This window comes from Homo sapiens, chromosome X (assembly GCF_000001405.40).
Source record: "Homo sapiens chromosome X, GRCh38.p14 Primary Assembly".
Taxonomy (NCBI): Eukaryota; Metazoa; Chordata; class Mammalia; order Primates; family Hominidae; genus Homo; species Homo sapiens.
The window spans coordinates 53,116,110-53,130,009 of NC_000023.11; the positions used below are offsets into that span (position 1 = coordinate 53,116,110).

The 13,900-nt window shown below is 39.0% G+C and overlaps 1 protein-coding gene across 9 annotated transcripts in view; it reads left to right on the forward strand.

Annotated features, from left to right (window-relative positions):
- The window catches only part of KANTR (KANTR integral membrane protein), a 53,780-nt gene that overhangs the window by 21,968 nt on the left and 17,912 nt on the right, over nucleotides 1-13,900 (forward strand). For 5 of the 9 annotated variants that reach the window (NM_001397450.1, NM_001397453.1, NM_001397451.1 and 2 more), the window contains one exon: nucleotides 7,360-11,329. The exons of the other annotated variants lie outside the window; for them this stretch is intronic. In NM_001397450.1, the coding sequence (NP_001384379.1) occupies nucleotides 8,164-8,394 (231 nt within the window). In that variant the 5' untranslated portion in view covers nucleotides 7,360-8,163 and the 3' untranslated portion in view covers nucleotides 8,395-11,329. Of the gene's footprint in view, nucleotides 1-7,359; nucleotides 11,330-13,900 lie in introns of those variants that run through there. 9 annotated transcript variants of the gene reach the window in all.

A 13,900-nucleotide genomic window follows, 5' to 3' on the forward strand; every position in this document is an offset into this window, starting at 1 on the left:
GCAGCCTTTTTTCTTTTCAGTTCTTGTTTTTCTTTTTAAGCCTGGATTCCTAGGGGTCACACCTGGTGAATAAATATAATTTGGTGGTCAGCCAGTGATTGGTCAGAATGTATCCTTAAATGCCTTGCCTGTACATCTTCCAACCCTTGCCAAGAGGATCTGCGTAAGAAAGCATTGCCTTCAAAGTCCAGCCAGTGTATGAGACAGCCTTTGCTTTCACTTTGTACTTGCACAGGGCCTCGCAGTCAGCCAGAAGTGAGTGGCTTGGATCCTCTCCTATCCCAGCTCTTTCCTTGGCGTGCATATAGCCTTGAGTATATGCACAGCCCTTTAGATCCCTAGGAATATGTCAGAGCTTTTCAAAGTTTCCTATGGTTGTCTCATTCTCTAGGATTTCCTGTAAAATTCTCTAAGTGGTCAGATTTCTCTGTTGTCTGGAATTTGGTCACCTTTTGGATCCTGTACCACGGAGATAGGGAGGGTTAGGGAGGGAGGATGGGGATCACCACAAGTGAAATGTCGTAGACCTCACTGTCTTGCCAACATTCAGTAGTTTCTTTGGATGATGATTTTCACTTCATTCTGTGGCTTTGGTTAATTGCCAGAGTTCTAAAATGGTTGATTTGAGTTGGTTTGACCATCTTTTCATTGTTTTAGAGGGAAAGTGAGTTCATCAAAGTCCTCGCTCTGCCATTCCATCTATCTACTATTACTCCTGTCTTTGAAAAAAACTTTAAATCCTCTTCATCTCACATGCCTTTGCAGTTATGACTTCATTTCTCAATTCCCCTAACAGCAAAACTCTTCAAAGAGTTTTCCTTCCTCACGTTCTCTACTCTTCTCCTATATGCTGTTCATATAACATATATTAGATATATGATAAAAGAATAGGCTGGGCGCGGCGGCTCACACCTGTAATCCCAGCACTTTGGGAGGCTGAGGCGGGTGAATCACTTGAGGTCAGGAGTTGAAGACCAGCCTGGCCAACATGGTGAAATCCCGTCTCTACTAAAAATATAAAAATTAGCTGGGTGTGACGGCATGTGCCTGTAATCCCAGCTACTTGGAAGGCTGAGGTAGGAGAATCGCTTGAACCCAAGAGGAGGTTGCAGGGAGCCAAGGTCACGCCACTGCACTCCAGCTTGGGGGACAGAGCGAGATTCCATCTCAAAAAACAAACAAACAAAAAAACAATATATACATTATATACACAAGTTATAAGTATAATAATATGAAAACCCAAGAACTCACAACCCCACCCAAGAACATTAATGATATCATCTACCTGTGTGTCATTTTCTATCCCATTCCTCACCCTCCCCACCACTCCACTCCTGAAATTCCTGCTCTGCTAAGTCTTGTGCTTAACATTCACTTGCCCTTTTTGATATATGGGATTTTTTTTCATATTTGTGGGGATGCTTAACCAATACATTGTTTATTTGACTCAGTTGTGAGCCTTGTAAAAATAGTATCATACTGTGTGTGTGTGTGTGTGTGTTTTTTTTTTTTTTTTTTTTTTTTTGAGACGGAGTTTCACTTGTCGCCCAGGCTGTAGTGCAGTGCAATGGTGTGATCTCGGCTCACTGTAACCTCCGCCTCCTGGGTTCAAGTGATTCTTCTGCCTCAGCCTCCCGAGTAGCTGGGATTACAGGTGTGCACCACCACACCCAGCTAATTTTGTATTTTTAGTAGAGTTGGGGTTTCACCGTGTTGGCCAGGCTGGTCTTGAACTCCTGACCTCAGGTGATCCACCTGCTTCGGCCTCCCAAAGTGCTGGGATTACAGGCGTGAGCCACCATGCCCGGCCCTGTGTGGTCTTCTGAGACTTAACTTTTTTCATTCAATATTATGTTTCTAAGATTCACCTATGTTGTTACATGTAGCTAGAGTTTGTTTACAATATTCCCTTGGGTGACCATAAGACAAATTATCCATTCATCCGTTGTTGGACATTTGGGTCATTTCCAGCTTTTTGCTCTTATGGACAGTGCTACCATGAGCATTCTTAGGTGTATCTCCTGGAACATATGCACACCCATTTTTCTAAGGTATATAGACCTAGGAATGTGATTGTTGATTAATAGGTCATCCAAAAGTTCGGCTTGACAGGATTATGCCAAACTGGTGGTAACCAATTTACACTACTTTCAGAAATGTATGAGATCCCGTTGATCCACATCCTCATACACTTGATATTGTCCTCCTTCTTATTTTTTGTTATTACACTGAGTGTAAAATGGTATTTCACTGGGGACATATTAGCATTTTCTTAGTCATTAATGTGATCAAGCATCTTTTCATGGTCCTTAGCCACATGTTTCCTCTTCTGTGAAAGGACTGTTAATATCTTTAGCCCATTAAAATTTTTCTGGGTACAATGGCTCATGCCTGTAATCTCAGCACTTAGGGAGGCCAAGGAAGGCAGATCACTTGAGCCCAGGAGTTCGAGACCAGACTGGGCAACATGATGAAACCGCATCTCTACAAAAAATACAAAAATTACCCGGGTGTGGTGGTGCATGCCTGTGGCCCCAGCTACTTGGGAGGCTGAGGTGGGAGGATGGCTTGAGCCTGGGAGGCGGTGGCTACAGTGAGCTGAGATCACACTACTGCATTTGAGCCTAGGCGGCAGAACTAGACTCTGTCTCAAAAAAAAAAAAAAAAGATCTTTTTTGTTTAGATGGGTTCTCACTACGTTGTCAAGACTGGTCGTGAACTCCTGTGCTCAAAGGATCCTCCTACCTCCATTTCCCAAGTAGCTAGAATTATAGATGTGCATCACCATGCCTGGCTAAATCATTTTTTATTGATTTGTAGGTGTTCTTTATGTGGATCCTCATCATTGGTCAGTTGTATGTGTTGAATAGCTTCTGTAATTTTGAAGCTTTTTTAATGGTATCTTTGCATGAGTAGAAATTCTTATTTTTCTTTCTTTTTTTTTTTTTTTTTTGTGAGACGGGGTCTCACTCTTTCACCCAGGCTGGAGTGCAGTGGTGGGATCACAGCTCACTGCAGCCTTGACCTCCCTGGGCTCAGGTGATCCTCCCACCTCAGCTTACTGAGTAGCTGGGACTACAGGCGTGTGCCATGCCTGTAAATTAGCCATACCTGGCTAATTGTTATTTTTTATTTTTTGTAGAGACAGGGTCTCCCTGTTGCCCAGGCTAGTCTTATTTTTGAGTTGAACAAATCCATCTTTTCTGTATTATAGCCAGCAATTTTTTGTCTTGTCTTCTCTAACCTATAGTTATAAACATTTTCTTTATTTTCTTCCAATAAAAGTTTTAAAAGTTTACCTTTCACATTTAAGTCCAAATGGAATTGGTTTTTGTGTGGTATAAGGTAGGGAGCTGGTTTCATTATTTTCCATATGAATAACATAATAATCTGAGAAACCACCTCTGGCTGGAGCATCAACATTCCATATCCATATAGATCTGTTTCTGGCCTCTCTTTGCTGTTGGTTAGCTTTTTGTCCCTGAACCAGTACTACACTGCCTTAATTACCTTGCCTTCATAATAAATCTTGATATTTGATAAAGCAAAATCTTCCCATCTTATTTTTCTTCAGAAGTATCATGTATTTTTAGCCCTTTGTTATTTTATTTATTTATTTATTTATTTTGAGATAGGTTCTTGCTCTGTCACCCAGGCTGGAGTGCAGTGGTGTGATCTTGGCTCATAGCAGCCTTGACCTTCTGGGCTCAAGCGGTCCTCCCACCTCAGCTTCCTGGGTAGCTGAGACTACCATCATGCCATAATGCCCAGCTAATTTTTGTATTTTTTGTAGAGACAGGGTTCCCCCCATGTTAACCAGGCTGTTCTCGAACGCCTGCGCTCAAGCAATCCACCCACCTTGGCCTCCCAAAGTGCTGAGATGACAGGCATGAGCTACCTTGACCAGCCCCCCTTTGTTATTTTATTGTATTAATTTAGTTATTTGAGACAGGGTCTTGCTGTGTCATGCAGGCTGGAGTGCAGTGGTACAGTAAGTTCACTGCAGCCTCAACCTCCAGGGCTCAAGCAGTTCTCCCACCTCAGCCTTTCAAGTAGCTGGGACTACAGGGGCATGCCACCACACCCAGCTAATGTTGGTATTTTTTTGTAGAGACAGGGTTTCGCCATGTTCCCCCAGCTGGTCTCGAACTCTTGGCCTCAAGTGATCCTCCTGCCTTGGCCTCCCAAAGTGCTGGGATTACAGGTGGGGGTTACCACGCTCGGCCCCCCTTTGTGTTTTTTTAAACACATTTCAGAATCAGCTTGTCATGTTCTGTAAAAATGTTGGAATTGCAGTGAATCTGTAGATCATTTTGAAGAGAATTGATGTTTATGGTGTTGAGCCTCCCTCCCTAAGAGCCTGACATAGCTCTCTATTGTAAATAAATTATTGAATGTCTTCTGGCAGAGCTTTATGTTTTTCTGCATAAGGTCTACATATCTTGTGTTCGATTTATTTATTGGTACTTTATGGGTTTTCTGCTATTATAAGTGGGATCTTTTATTGTATTTTTTATCTCTTTTGCAGGTATATAGAAATGAAGTTGGCTTTTGTATATTAGTATTATAACCATTTGCCTTATTACACTTTTTATTATTTATTTTATTTATTTATTATTTATTTATTTTTGAGTTCGCATCTCGCTCAGTTGCCCAGGCTGGAGTGCAGTGGCGTGATCTCGGCTCACTGCAACCTCCGCCTCCCAGGTTCAAGCAATTCTCCTACTCAGCCTTCCCAGTAGCTGGGATTACAAGCGTGTGCCACCACGCTCAGCTAATTTTTTGTATTTTTAGTAGAGATGGGGTTTCACCATGTTGGCCAGGCTGATCTTGAACTCCTGACCTCAAATGATCCACCCGCTTCAGCCTCCCAAGGTGTTGTTTTTTTTTGTTTGTTTTTGTTTTTTGAGATGGAGTCTCGCTCTGTCTCCTAGTCTGGAGTGCAGTGGCGCCATCTCGGCTCACTGCCACCCCCACCTCCCAGGTTCAAGCAATTCTCCTGCCTCAGCCTCCTGAGTAGTTGGGATTACAGGCTCCCACCACCATGCCCAGGTAGTTTTTGTATTTTTAGTAAAGACGGGGTTTCACCATGTTGGCCAGGCTGGTCTCTCGAACTCCTGACCTCAGGTGATCTGCCTGCCTCGGCCTCCCAAAGTGCTGGGATTATAGGAGTGAGCCACCATGCCCGGCCCTAAACTTATTTTTAAATAGGTTTTTATTCTGGAATAGTTTTAGATTTACAGAAAAGTTAGTTAAGAGATAGTACAGAGAGTTTCTGTATATTCCTCACTGTAGTACATTTATCAAAAATAAGAAAGCAACATTGCTATATTACTACTACCTAAACATCAGACTTTACATGGCTTTATCAGTTTTTTTCACTGGTGTCCTTTTTTTGTTCCAGGATCCAATTCAAAATATCGCATTTCATTCAGTTGTCGTGTCTCCATAGTGTCCTCTGGTCTATGACAGTTTCTCAGTCTGTTCTTGTTTTTTTTTTTTGTTTGTTTGTTTTTGGTTTTTTTTTCCCAGAAGTCCATTAAGCCGAGAATGACCTTGTTTTTTATGACCTAACAGTTTTAAGGAATACTGTTGAATGTTCCTCAGTTTGTATTTGTCTGAAGTTTTGCTTATATTTAGAGTGGAGTTGTTTTTGGAAAGAACACCAGAGTTTAAATGCCTTTCTTATCAGATCATATCAGAGGTACCTGGTATCCATTGGCATCCCTGGTTTTGTGAACCTTCATCCCTTGGTTAAGGTGATGTTTGCCAGGTTTTCCCCCTGGCAAGTTGCTGCCTTTCCCTTTTCATAGTCTGTTCTTTGGAAGACTCTAGCCCACCCTCAAGTAGGTGGGAAGAATTGAGCTATAGCTCCTGGAAGGAGAGGGTGTATCTCTGTATATCATTTGAAATTCTTCTGTAAAGATTTGTCTCTTATCCCTTATTTATTTATTCAGTCACTTATATCAGTATGAACTCATGCATTTTTATTTAATAATTTGAGTTATAAATCTAATACTGTGTTCTTTGTTTTGTTGGTCAAATCAGTCCAGTTTTGGCCACTGGGGACTCTTGCCAGTTGGCTCCTGTGTCCCTTTCACATGCTCCCATCCTTTGGTTTTGAGCACTGCTTTACTTGCCAGCACTAGGAAATGCTCCAGACTCGTCTTGTATTTTCCTCTCTTAGTCCTGGAATCAGCCATTTCTCCAAGGAACCCTGGTTCCTTTTAAGGTGTCTGTATATTCTTTTATGTTTTCTATGGTGACAACCATATCAGCTATAAATAATGACAGTTTTGTCTTTTCCTTTCCAATCTTTATGCCTTTATTTTTCTTGTCGTACTGAGATGACCAGGACATCTAGTACAATGATGACAGCATGCATCTGTGTCTTGTTGTGTATTTTAGAGGAAACACCACTAACTTTTCCCTATTAAGAATGATACTGTATTTGCTATAGATTTCCTACGGGTTTTATCAGGTTAAGCAAGTTCCATCCTATTACTCTATACTAAGAGGCTTTTATTTTTTTAATAATGAAAGGGTGTTGAATTTTTACCAAATGCCTTTTCTGTTTCTTATGATAATTATATGTTTTTTCTCCAATAATCTGATATGTGGTAAATGACATTTATAGATTTTCCTCATGTTAGACCATCTTTGCATTTCTTGTATAAACACAACTTGGTCATGGTCTTTCATTTTTTATACAGGTTGGTGAACAAAAGTTTGGAATTTTGCAACTGTGTCCATGAGTAAAATTGGTCTTTTCCTTTCTCAGGCTGTTCTTATTGGCTTTTGGCAGTAAGGTTCTGCTGGTATAGAATGACTCAGAGTGTTCCCTCTTTTATAATATTCTGGAAGATGCTGTATAAGTTTGGAATGATTGGTTTGGTAGAACTTCTGCAAAACCATCTTGTCTAGTGTTTTCCTTTTTAATATTGAATTAGTGTTAAACTTATAAATTAAAATATTTTCAAAATTGTAAATAAGAAGGTTGAAATTTGCTTCCATGTTTATTTTATAAGCTTTATGCTTGAAATGGCTACACACAAATCCTGAGCAAGACTTTTTTTTTTTTTTCTGAGCAAGACTTTTTAATGATGCATTCTTCAAATTCTTAACAGTCGCCATCCATAAATGTCTTTTTTTGTACAAGTAGGTGATAAAATATTTAAAGCCAATTTTTAAATGTTTCAAAGATATTTAACAATTGGAATTATATCTAACAGCTTTTCTTTTTGTTTCACTGACAAGTATATTGTTAAAACTTCTCATGATGATGTGAGTAGATTTCAAATCCAGTTGAACGCTTTCATATTAACAATTTCAAAATAATGATGAAGCTCTTATTTGCAGAACATGCATCATTATTAGAACCATCACCCTGCAGCTAGCTTGGATACCATTAAAAGGGCTCATCAGCTGCAAACGGATTAAAGTATCTGATACTCGGGAAGACAGAGTTTCAGGGTTTCTACCTGGAGCTACACCCTCAGGAAGCCCCTCCTTGGCCTCCCTGCACCCAGTCCCATCCCAACCAGTCACATCTTGGGCTGTGCGTGGTGTTTCTTGGAAACTGGAACACAGACTCCTCCAGCAGCTCCACAGGTCCCTTGTCCTCAATGAGCAGAAGACTACAGGAGCTGGCTACTGAAGAGGCTGTCCAAGTAATAGAGCACCTTCTTGGCCCTGCTTAGCACATTTACTGCAGAGCTGGATGCTACTTATTTGTGCTCACCACCTTCAGGGACTGCAGAGAGATTTGTCAGACCCTACTTCACTAAGGGCCACCCTCTAAGGATCTCCAGAAGAGGCTGCCCATAGAGAGAAGTGGCCTGCCTAGGGTCTCCACTTCCTCAGGTCCTACCCGGACACCTCTAGGGCTGAGGGGATCAGTATCTCTTCACCTGCCTGTAATCCACATACCAAGTGGAAGAATCTGCCTGCTATTTTTTGTTTGTTTGTTTGTTTTGGCGGGAAGAGTTTTAACTACTGCTGTAACTCCTTTAGTAGCTATGGAACTGTTGAGGATTTCTTTTTCTTCTTGAGTCGATTTTGGTAAGATAACAGTTTTCTAGGAGTTGGTCCATTTTGTCTGCATTTTCAAATTCATTGGCATAAAGTTTCCTTTTTATTCTGTGCTGTGTATGAACTGTAACAATGTCTCCTTTTTCATTACTGATATTGGTTATTTGTGCCTTCTCACTTTTTTTCTTGATCAATCTCACCAGAGGTTTATCTATTTTATTAGTCTTTTCAAAGAACCAACTTTTGGCTTTGTTGCTCCTCTCTATTGTATCTTTGTTTTCTATTTCTTTAATTTCTGCTCTTATCTTTTTTGATCTCCTTCCTTCCACATTTTTTGGGTTTATTCTGTTGTTCTTTTTCTAATTTAACTGGACATTGAGCTCATTAGTTTTCATTCTTTCCCATTTTCTAATTTGTGCATTTAAGGATATAATTTCCCTCTAACTCCTGCTTCTCCATAAGTTTAGATATGTAGTATTTTCATTATTGCTCAGTTATAAGTACTTCATTTCTATCAAGGTTACTTCTTTGACCTGTAAGTTATATAGAAATGTGTTTTTAGATTTCCAAATGTTTGGGGATTTAAAATTTTATCTCTTTGTTATTGAAATCTGTCTTAATTGCATTATGGTCAGAGGATGTGGTTTGTGTGACAACAACTCTGAAATTTTTTAGACTTGTTTTATGGCTTAGTATGTGACCAATATTTTTGAATGCTTCCTGTGTGCTAATTTATAAGAATGTGTGTTCTCTAATTGTTGAATACAGAGATCTACATATGTCTATTATCAAGTTTGTGAACTATTGTTCAATTTTTACTTACCTATACTGATTTTTTTGGTCATTATCTACTGATAATTGAAAGAGGTGCGTTAATGTTCAACTGTAATGGTGGATTTGGCAATTTCTCCTTGTAATTCTATCTCGTTTCTTGCTTTATATATTTTGAGGGTGTTCATTAGGAATATTCAAATTAAAAATTGTTATATATTCCTGATAAATATGTAATGACCCTCTCTATTCCTGATAATGCATTTTTCTTTGAAACCTATTTTATCTTATATTAATGTAGTAACACAAACTTTTCTTGTTGGGATTTGTGTGGTATATAATTTTCCATCCTTTTACTTTTGAGCATTTTCATGCCATTATGTTTAATTATATCTCTTGGAAACAACATATAACTGGACCTTTTAAAAAATCTAATCTGATTATCTCTTTTGGTTGGCAAGTTTAGTCTGTTTACATTTACTGTGATGTATTTGGGCTTGTTTCTACCATCATACTTTTTTATTTCTGTTTACCATCACTACCTTTTCTGTGCTTCATTTTCTCTTTTCTCGCCTGCTTTTTTAGTTTTGAGATTTGTTTTCTTATTCAATTTTTTTCCTCCCTATTTTTAAATTTTTTTCTATTCTTTCTGTGGTTATCCTTGATGTTTTCCATATGTGTTTAACTTATAAAGTCTAAAGTTAAACAATATTTTAGCCCCCTTCTTAAAGAATGCAGGAAGCTTAGAAACCTTCAACTCTAGTCATTCCTCTCCTGATCACATACTGTTGTTTTCAAATATGTTAGTTTGTTCCTTTTTATAAACCTCACAATTTTACATCATTGTCAGTGTTATTTTATATAGACAGTGTTTGTTTGGACTTACATGCATACATTCTTGTATCACACATCATCCTTTGGGATCATTTTCTTTCATTATGAATATAGTGTTTAAGTGAGTTTTTTTTTTTTTTAGTACAGGTCTCTTGATGTTAAATTCTTCCAGTCTTTCTTATATGTAAATGTCTTTATTTTATCCTCATTCTTAAAAGATAGTTTGTTACAGGTATTTTTACTCAACACTTAGAATATATGGTTCCATTCTCTTTTGGCTTTGAGATGTCTGTTGCTATTAAGAAGTCGACTATCAGACTAATTGCTGGTTTTGTGTGTGTGTGTAGTAGTAGTAGTAGTAGTGGTAGTAGTGGTAGTAGTAGTAGTGGAATGTGCAGGGGGTCCTGCAGTTTTACTCTAACATGTTTACATATGTATTTTTTTTTAATTCTACTTTGGGAATGTCATGCTTCGTGGCTCAGTGAATTCATGCTTTTCATAATTTCTGGGAAATTCTCAACCATTATCTCTTCAAATATTGCCTTTCATTTTTTCTAGTTTTTCTTTCTTGGAATACAGTTAGTCATATTTTGGACCTCCTCATTCTATCTTCCGTATCTCATAACATCTCTGAGATTTTCTATCTCCTTGTCTTTCTGCACTTCATTCTGGATAATTTCTTTAGGTATATCTTTCAGCTTACTGATTCTCTTTTCAACTATGTTTAATCTGCTCTAATCTGCCCATTGAGTTTTTTATTTCAAAAGTTATATTTTTCATTTGTACAAACCTCATATATTTTACTTGCTAATCTGCCTAGTCATCCCTAATAGTCTCTTATTGCTTGGTCATCTTAGTGATTACATCTGTTATTACTTCTTTAAAACATTTTATATAATTTTTGTTCAACCAGTAGTCACTGTTTGCATGAGTATGACATTGTAAATATTGTTCACATCAAAACTACATAGTATATTCTGATTACATATCCTTCGTTGTATACCCTTTCGTTTTCCTTGGAGCTAATAATTGTGTATTTTGTTTTCTTTTGCTTAGTGTTCTAGTACCTATACTATTCTTCTCTGAAATTCTTTATACAATCCAAATCAGATCATGTCCTTCCACTATTCAGAATTCTCCCATGGCTCCCACCTCCCTCAACAAAAGCCAAAGCCCTCACCATGGCCCAAAGTCCCTACATAATCTGGTTCCCTTTACCTCTCTTACCTTGTCTCCTATCACTCTCAATATCACTCACTCTTCTCCAGCTACACTGGCCTCCTTGCTGTTCCCCAAGTGTGCTAGATACCCTTCCTTTTCAGGGCCTTTGTACTTGTTCTTCTCACTGCCTGAAACACCCTTCCTCCTAAATAATCTGATGAGTTGCCCTAGTACTTCCAGTGTGCTCAAATGTCACCTCCCTAGAGAAGTGTTTCCTGATCAACATATCTAAAATCGCCCCATCACATGCATTTTATATCCCTTTATCCTATTTTATGTATGTTTTTCTACAAAGCACTGATCACCACCTGGTATATTTTATATTTATTTATTGTGGTTAGTGTTCGTCTCTCTTCAGTAGACTGTAAGCTCCATAAAGCAGGGACTTCTGTTTTGTTCACTGCTGTATCCCCAGTGCCAAAAACAACAGTGCATAGTAGATACTCAATAAATATTTGTGGAATAAACTGAATGAATGGATGAATGACTTAATTGATTAATGTGGAGGATAGAGAAATAAAGGCCTTGAGGAGTAGGCTAGGCACAAAGGCCTTTAATGCCATGCTAAGGAACTTGGATATCATTTTTCATAAGGGTGGGGGCTGTGAAGAAGCAGTGAGGATAGCTCCTGGGTTCTTTTGGGAAGCAAGTTCTCAGTTGGTAGGGTTGTGGCAAAGCCCCATATTTTCTGACTGGCTGTACGCCCTAGGGCTCCTGAAGGCAGGCCTGCCTCTTACTCAAATAGCCCTCAAACTGCTGTGTTGTCGTGCTGCCTGTTACCTGGTGAAAAACAAAACCCCAACTCTCATTGGGCTTTCTGATCCCAGCTATCATCCCCCTTTCTCTTGCACGGTGAGGAACTGTTTCCTGGTCCCCAGGCCAAGCAGACCACTCTCATTATACTTTACCTGTGGTACTTGGTGGTGGTAGGGGGGCTGCAGGGGATAGCGTGGAAGCTGGCATGATGCTGGGCTCATAGTAAGTGTTATTATAATGGGAGATACCCATAGGAGGGTAAGTTACAGCTCAAAAAGAGTTTATTTCATTGTCAAAGTGAGAACAGGCTGTGTGGGGTTTTAGTCCTGACTTTGCCCCTAACCCTACTGGGGCCTAGTCTGGCTCCAGTGTTTCTGCCTGCCCATGACTCCGGATACTAATTCTGTTGTCTAATGTGTGACCTACTCTCCTGTTTTGGTCACCCACTAATTTCATCAGCATGCCATCAGAATTATACAGAATGCCATCTATAAGTTCAGTTGAGCAAAATTTGACCACTTACTGTGTGTCAGGCCTCCTGCTGTACACTGAAGACACAGAGATGAACGAGGTGTGTTCCTAGACACAGAACCGTAATTTCAGGGCAGTGTGGTCAGTGCAGTAACACTGGTAGGAAGAATAGACTGTGAGAGCCCCTAAGGAATACACAACCCAGCTCAGGGGACCAAGGAAGCTTTCTTGGAAGAGATGGCATATGAACTAAATCTTAAAAGATTTAGTTTAACTTTCTAATGTTAAACTGCTCTTGCATTTCTGGGATTAAACTCAACATTTTTGTGTTGTATTAAATCTTACTCATTCTGGATGTGGTTTGCTAATAAACTGTTTAGGATTTTTGCATCTTTAGCCATCTGTATTTGTCTGGTTAAGGTTATAGTGATCTTATCCAATAAATAAATCAGTTTTCTAGGAATTGGTCCAATTCATGTAAGTTTTCAAATTAATTATATTCTCTTATTTTTAAATTTTTACTATATCTTTTATGTTGTTCATATTATTTGTGCCTTTTCTATTTTTTCTTGTTAGTCTCTCCAAAGATTTTTTTTTAGCGATTGGCCTTGAAAGCTTACCATACATATTTAACCTAAAGTCCAAAGTTAAACATACTCCCCACCCAAAGAATTCAGACTTTATAAATCTTTAATGTCTCCCAATTTACATGTTATTATGTCTACTATTTTTGTTCCTCCCTTATTAAGGATGACACTAACAATATCATTTTATGCAAACATTGTTTGCTTAAATACTCATTTACCTTTTATTTGCCCATCTTTCTTCTTTTACCTCAGATGTCGTTTTTGGGATGATTTTTCTTCTTCTTCTTTTTTTTTTTTTTTTTTTTGAGATGGAGTCTCACTCTGTCACCCAGGCTGGAGTGCAGTGGCGCTATCTGGGCTCACTGCAAGCTCTGCCTCCTGGGTTCACACCATTCTCCTGCCTCCGCCTCCCAAGTAGCTGGGACTACAGGCGCCTGTCACCATGCCTGGCTATTTGTGTGTGTGTGTGTGTGTGTGTGTGTGTGTGTTTAGTAGAGACGGGGTTTCACTGTGTTAGCCAGGATGGTCTCGATCTCCTGACCTCGTGATCCGCCTGCCTTGACCTCCCAAAGTGCTGGGATAACAGGCATGAGCCACTGCGCCCAGCCTGATTTTTCTTCTTCTTGAAATACATACAGAACTTTAGAAAATCCTTTAGCATAGATCACTTAATTGGAAACTCTTAGTCTGTGTTTATCTATAAATGCCTTTTTTTCCCTTTATTCTTCTTAAAAGATAGGTTTGCTAGGTACCTACTTCTAAATTGCCTTTTTTAGAAGGATATTAAACACTGACACTAAGAGGACATTAGGACACTCGTCTGGTTTCTATTATTACTGTTGCAAAGTCTACTGTCACTCTAATTTTTTTCGTAGGTGTTCTTTTTCTCTGGCTGCTTTGAAGGTCCTTTAATTATTGCTTGACTCTATAAGATCTTTTTAGTTGGTGTTGTCTTGCAAATGTTCCTTTTTATAGCTTCCTAATCTTTCCCTATGAATGCAGTGTTTTCTTCTTGTCGCTCTGATGACATTAAATAATAATGTCTTTTTAAAAAGTGTTCTCCTTACAAATTTATTTATTTATTTATTTATTTATTTATTTACTGAGACAGAGGCTCACTCTGTCACCCAGGCTGGAGTGCAGTGGCGCGATCTCATCTCACTTCAACCTTCGCCTCCTGGGTTTAAGTGATTCTTCTGCCTCAGCCTCCCAAGTAGCTGGGATTACAG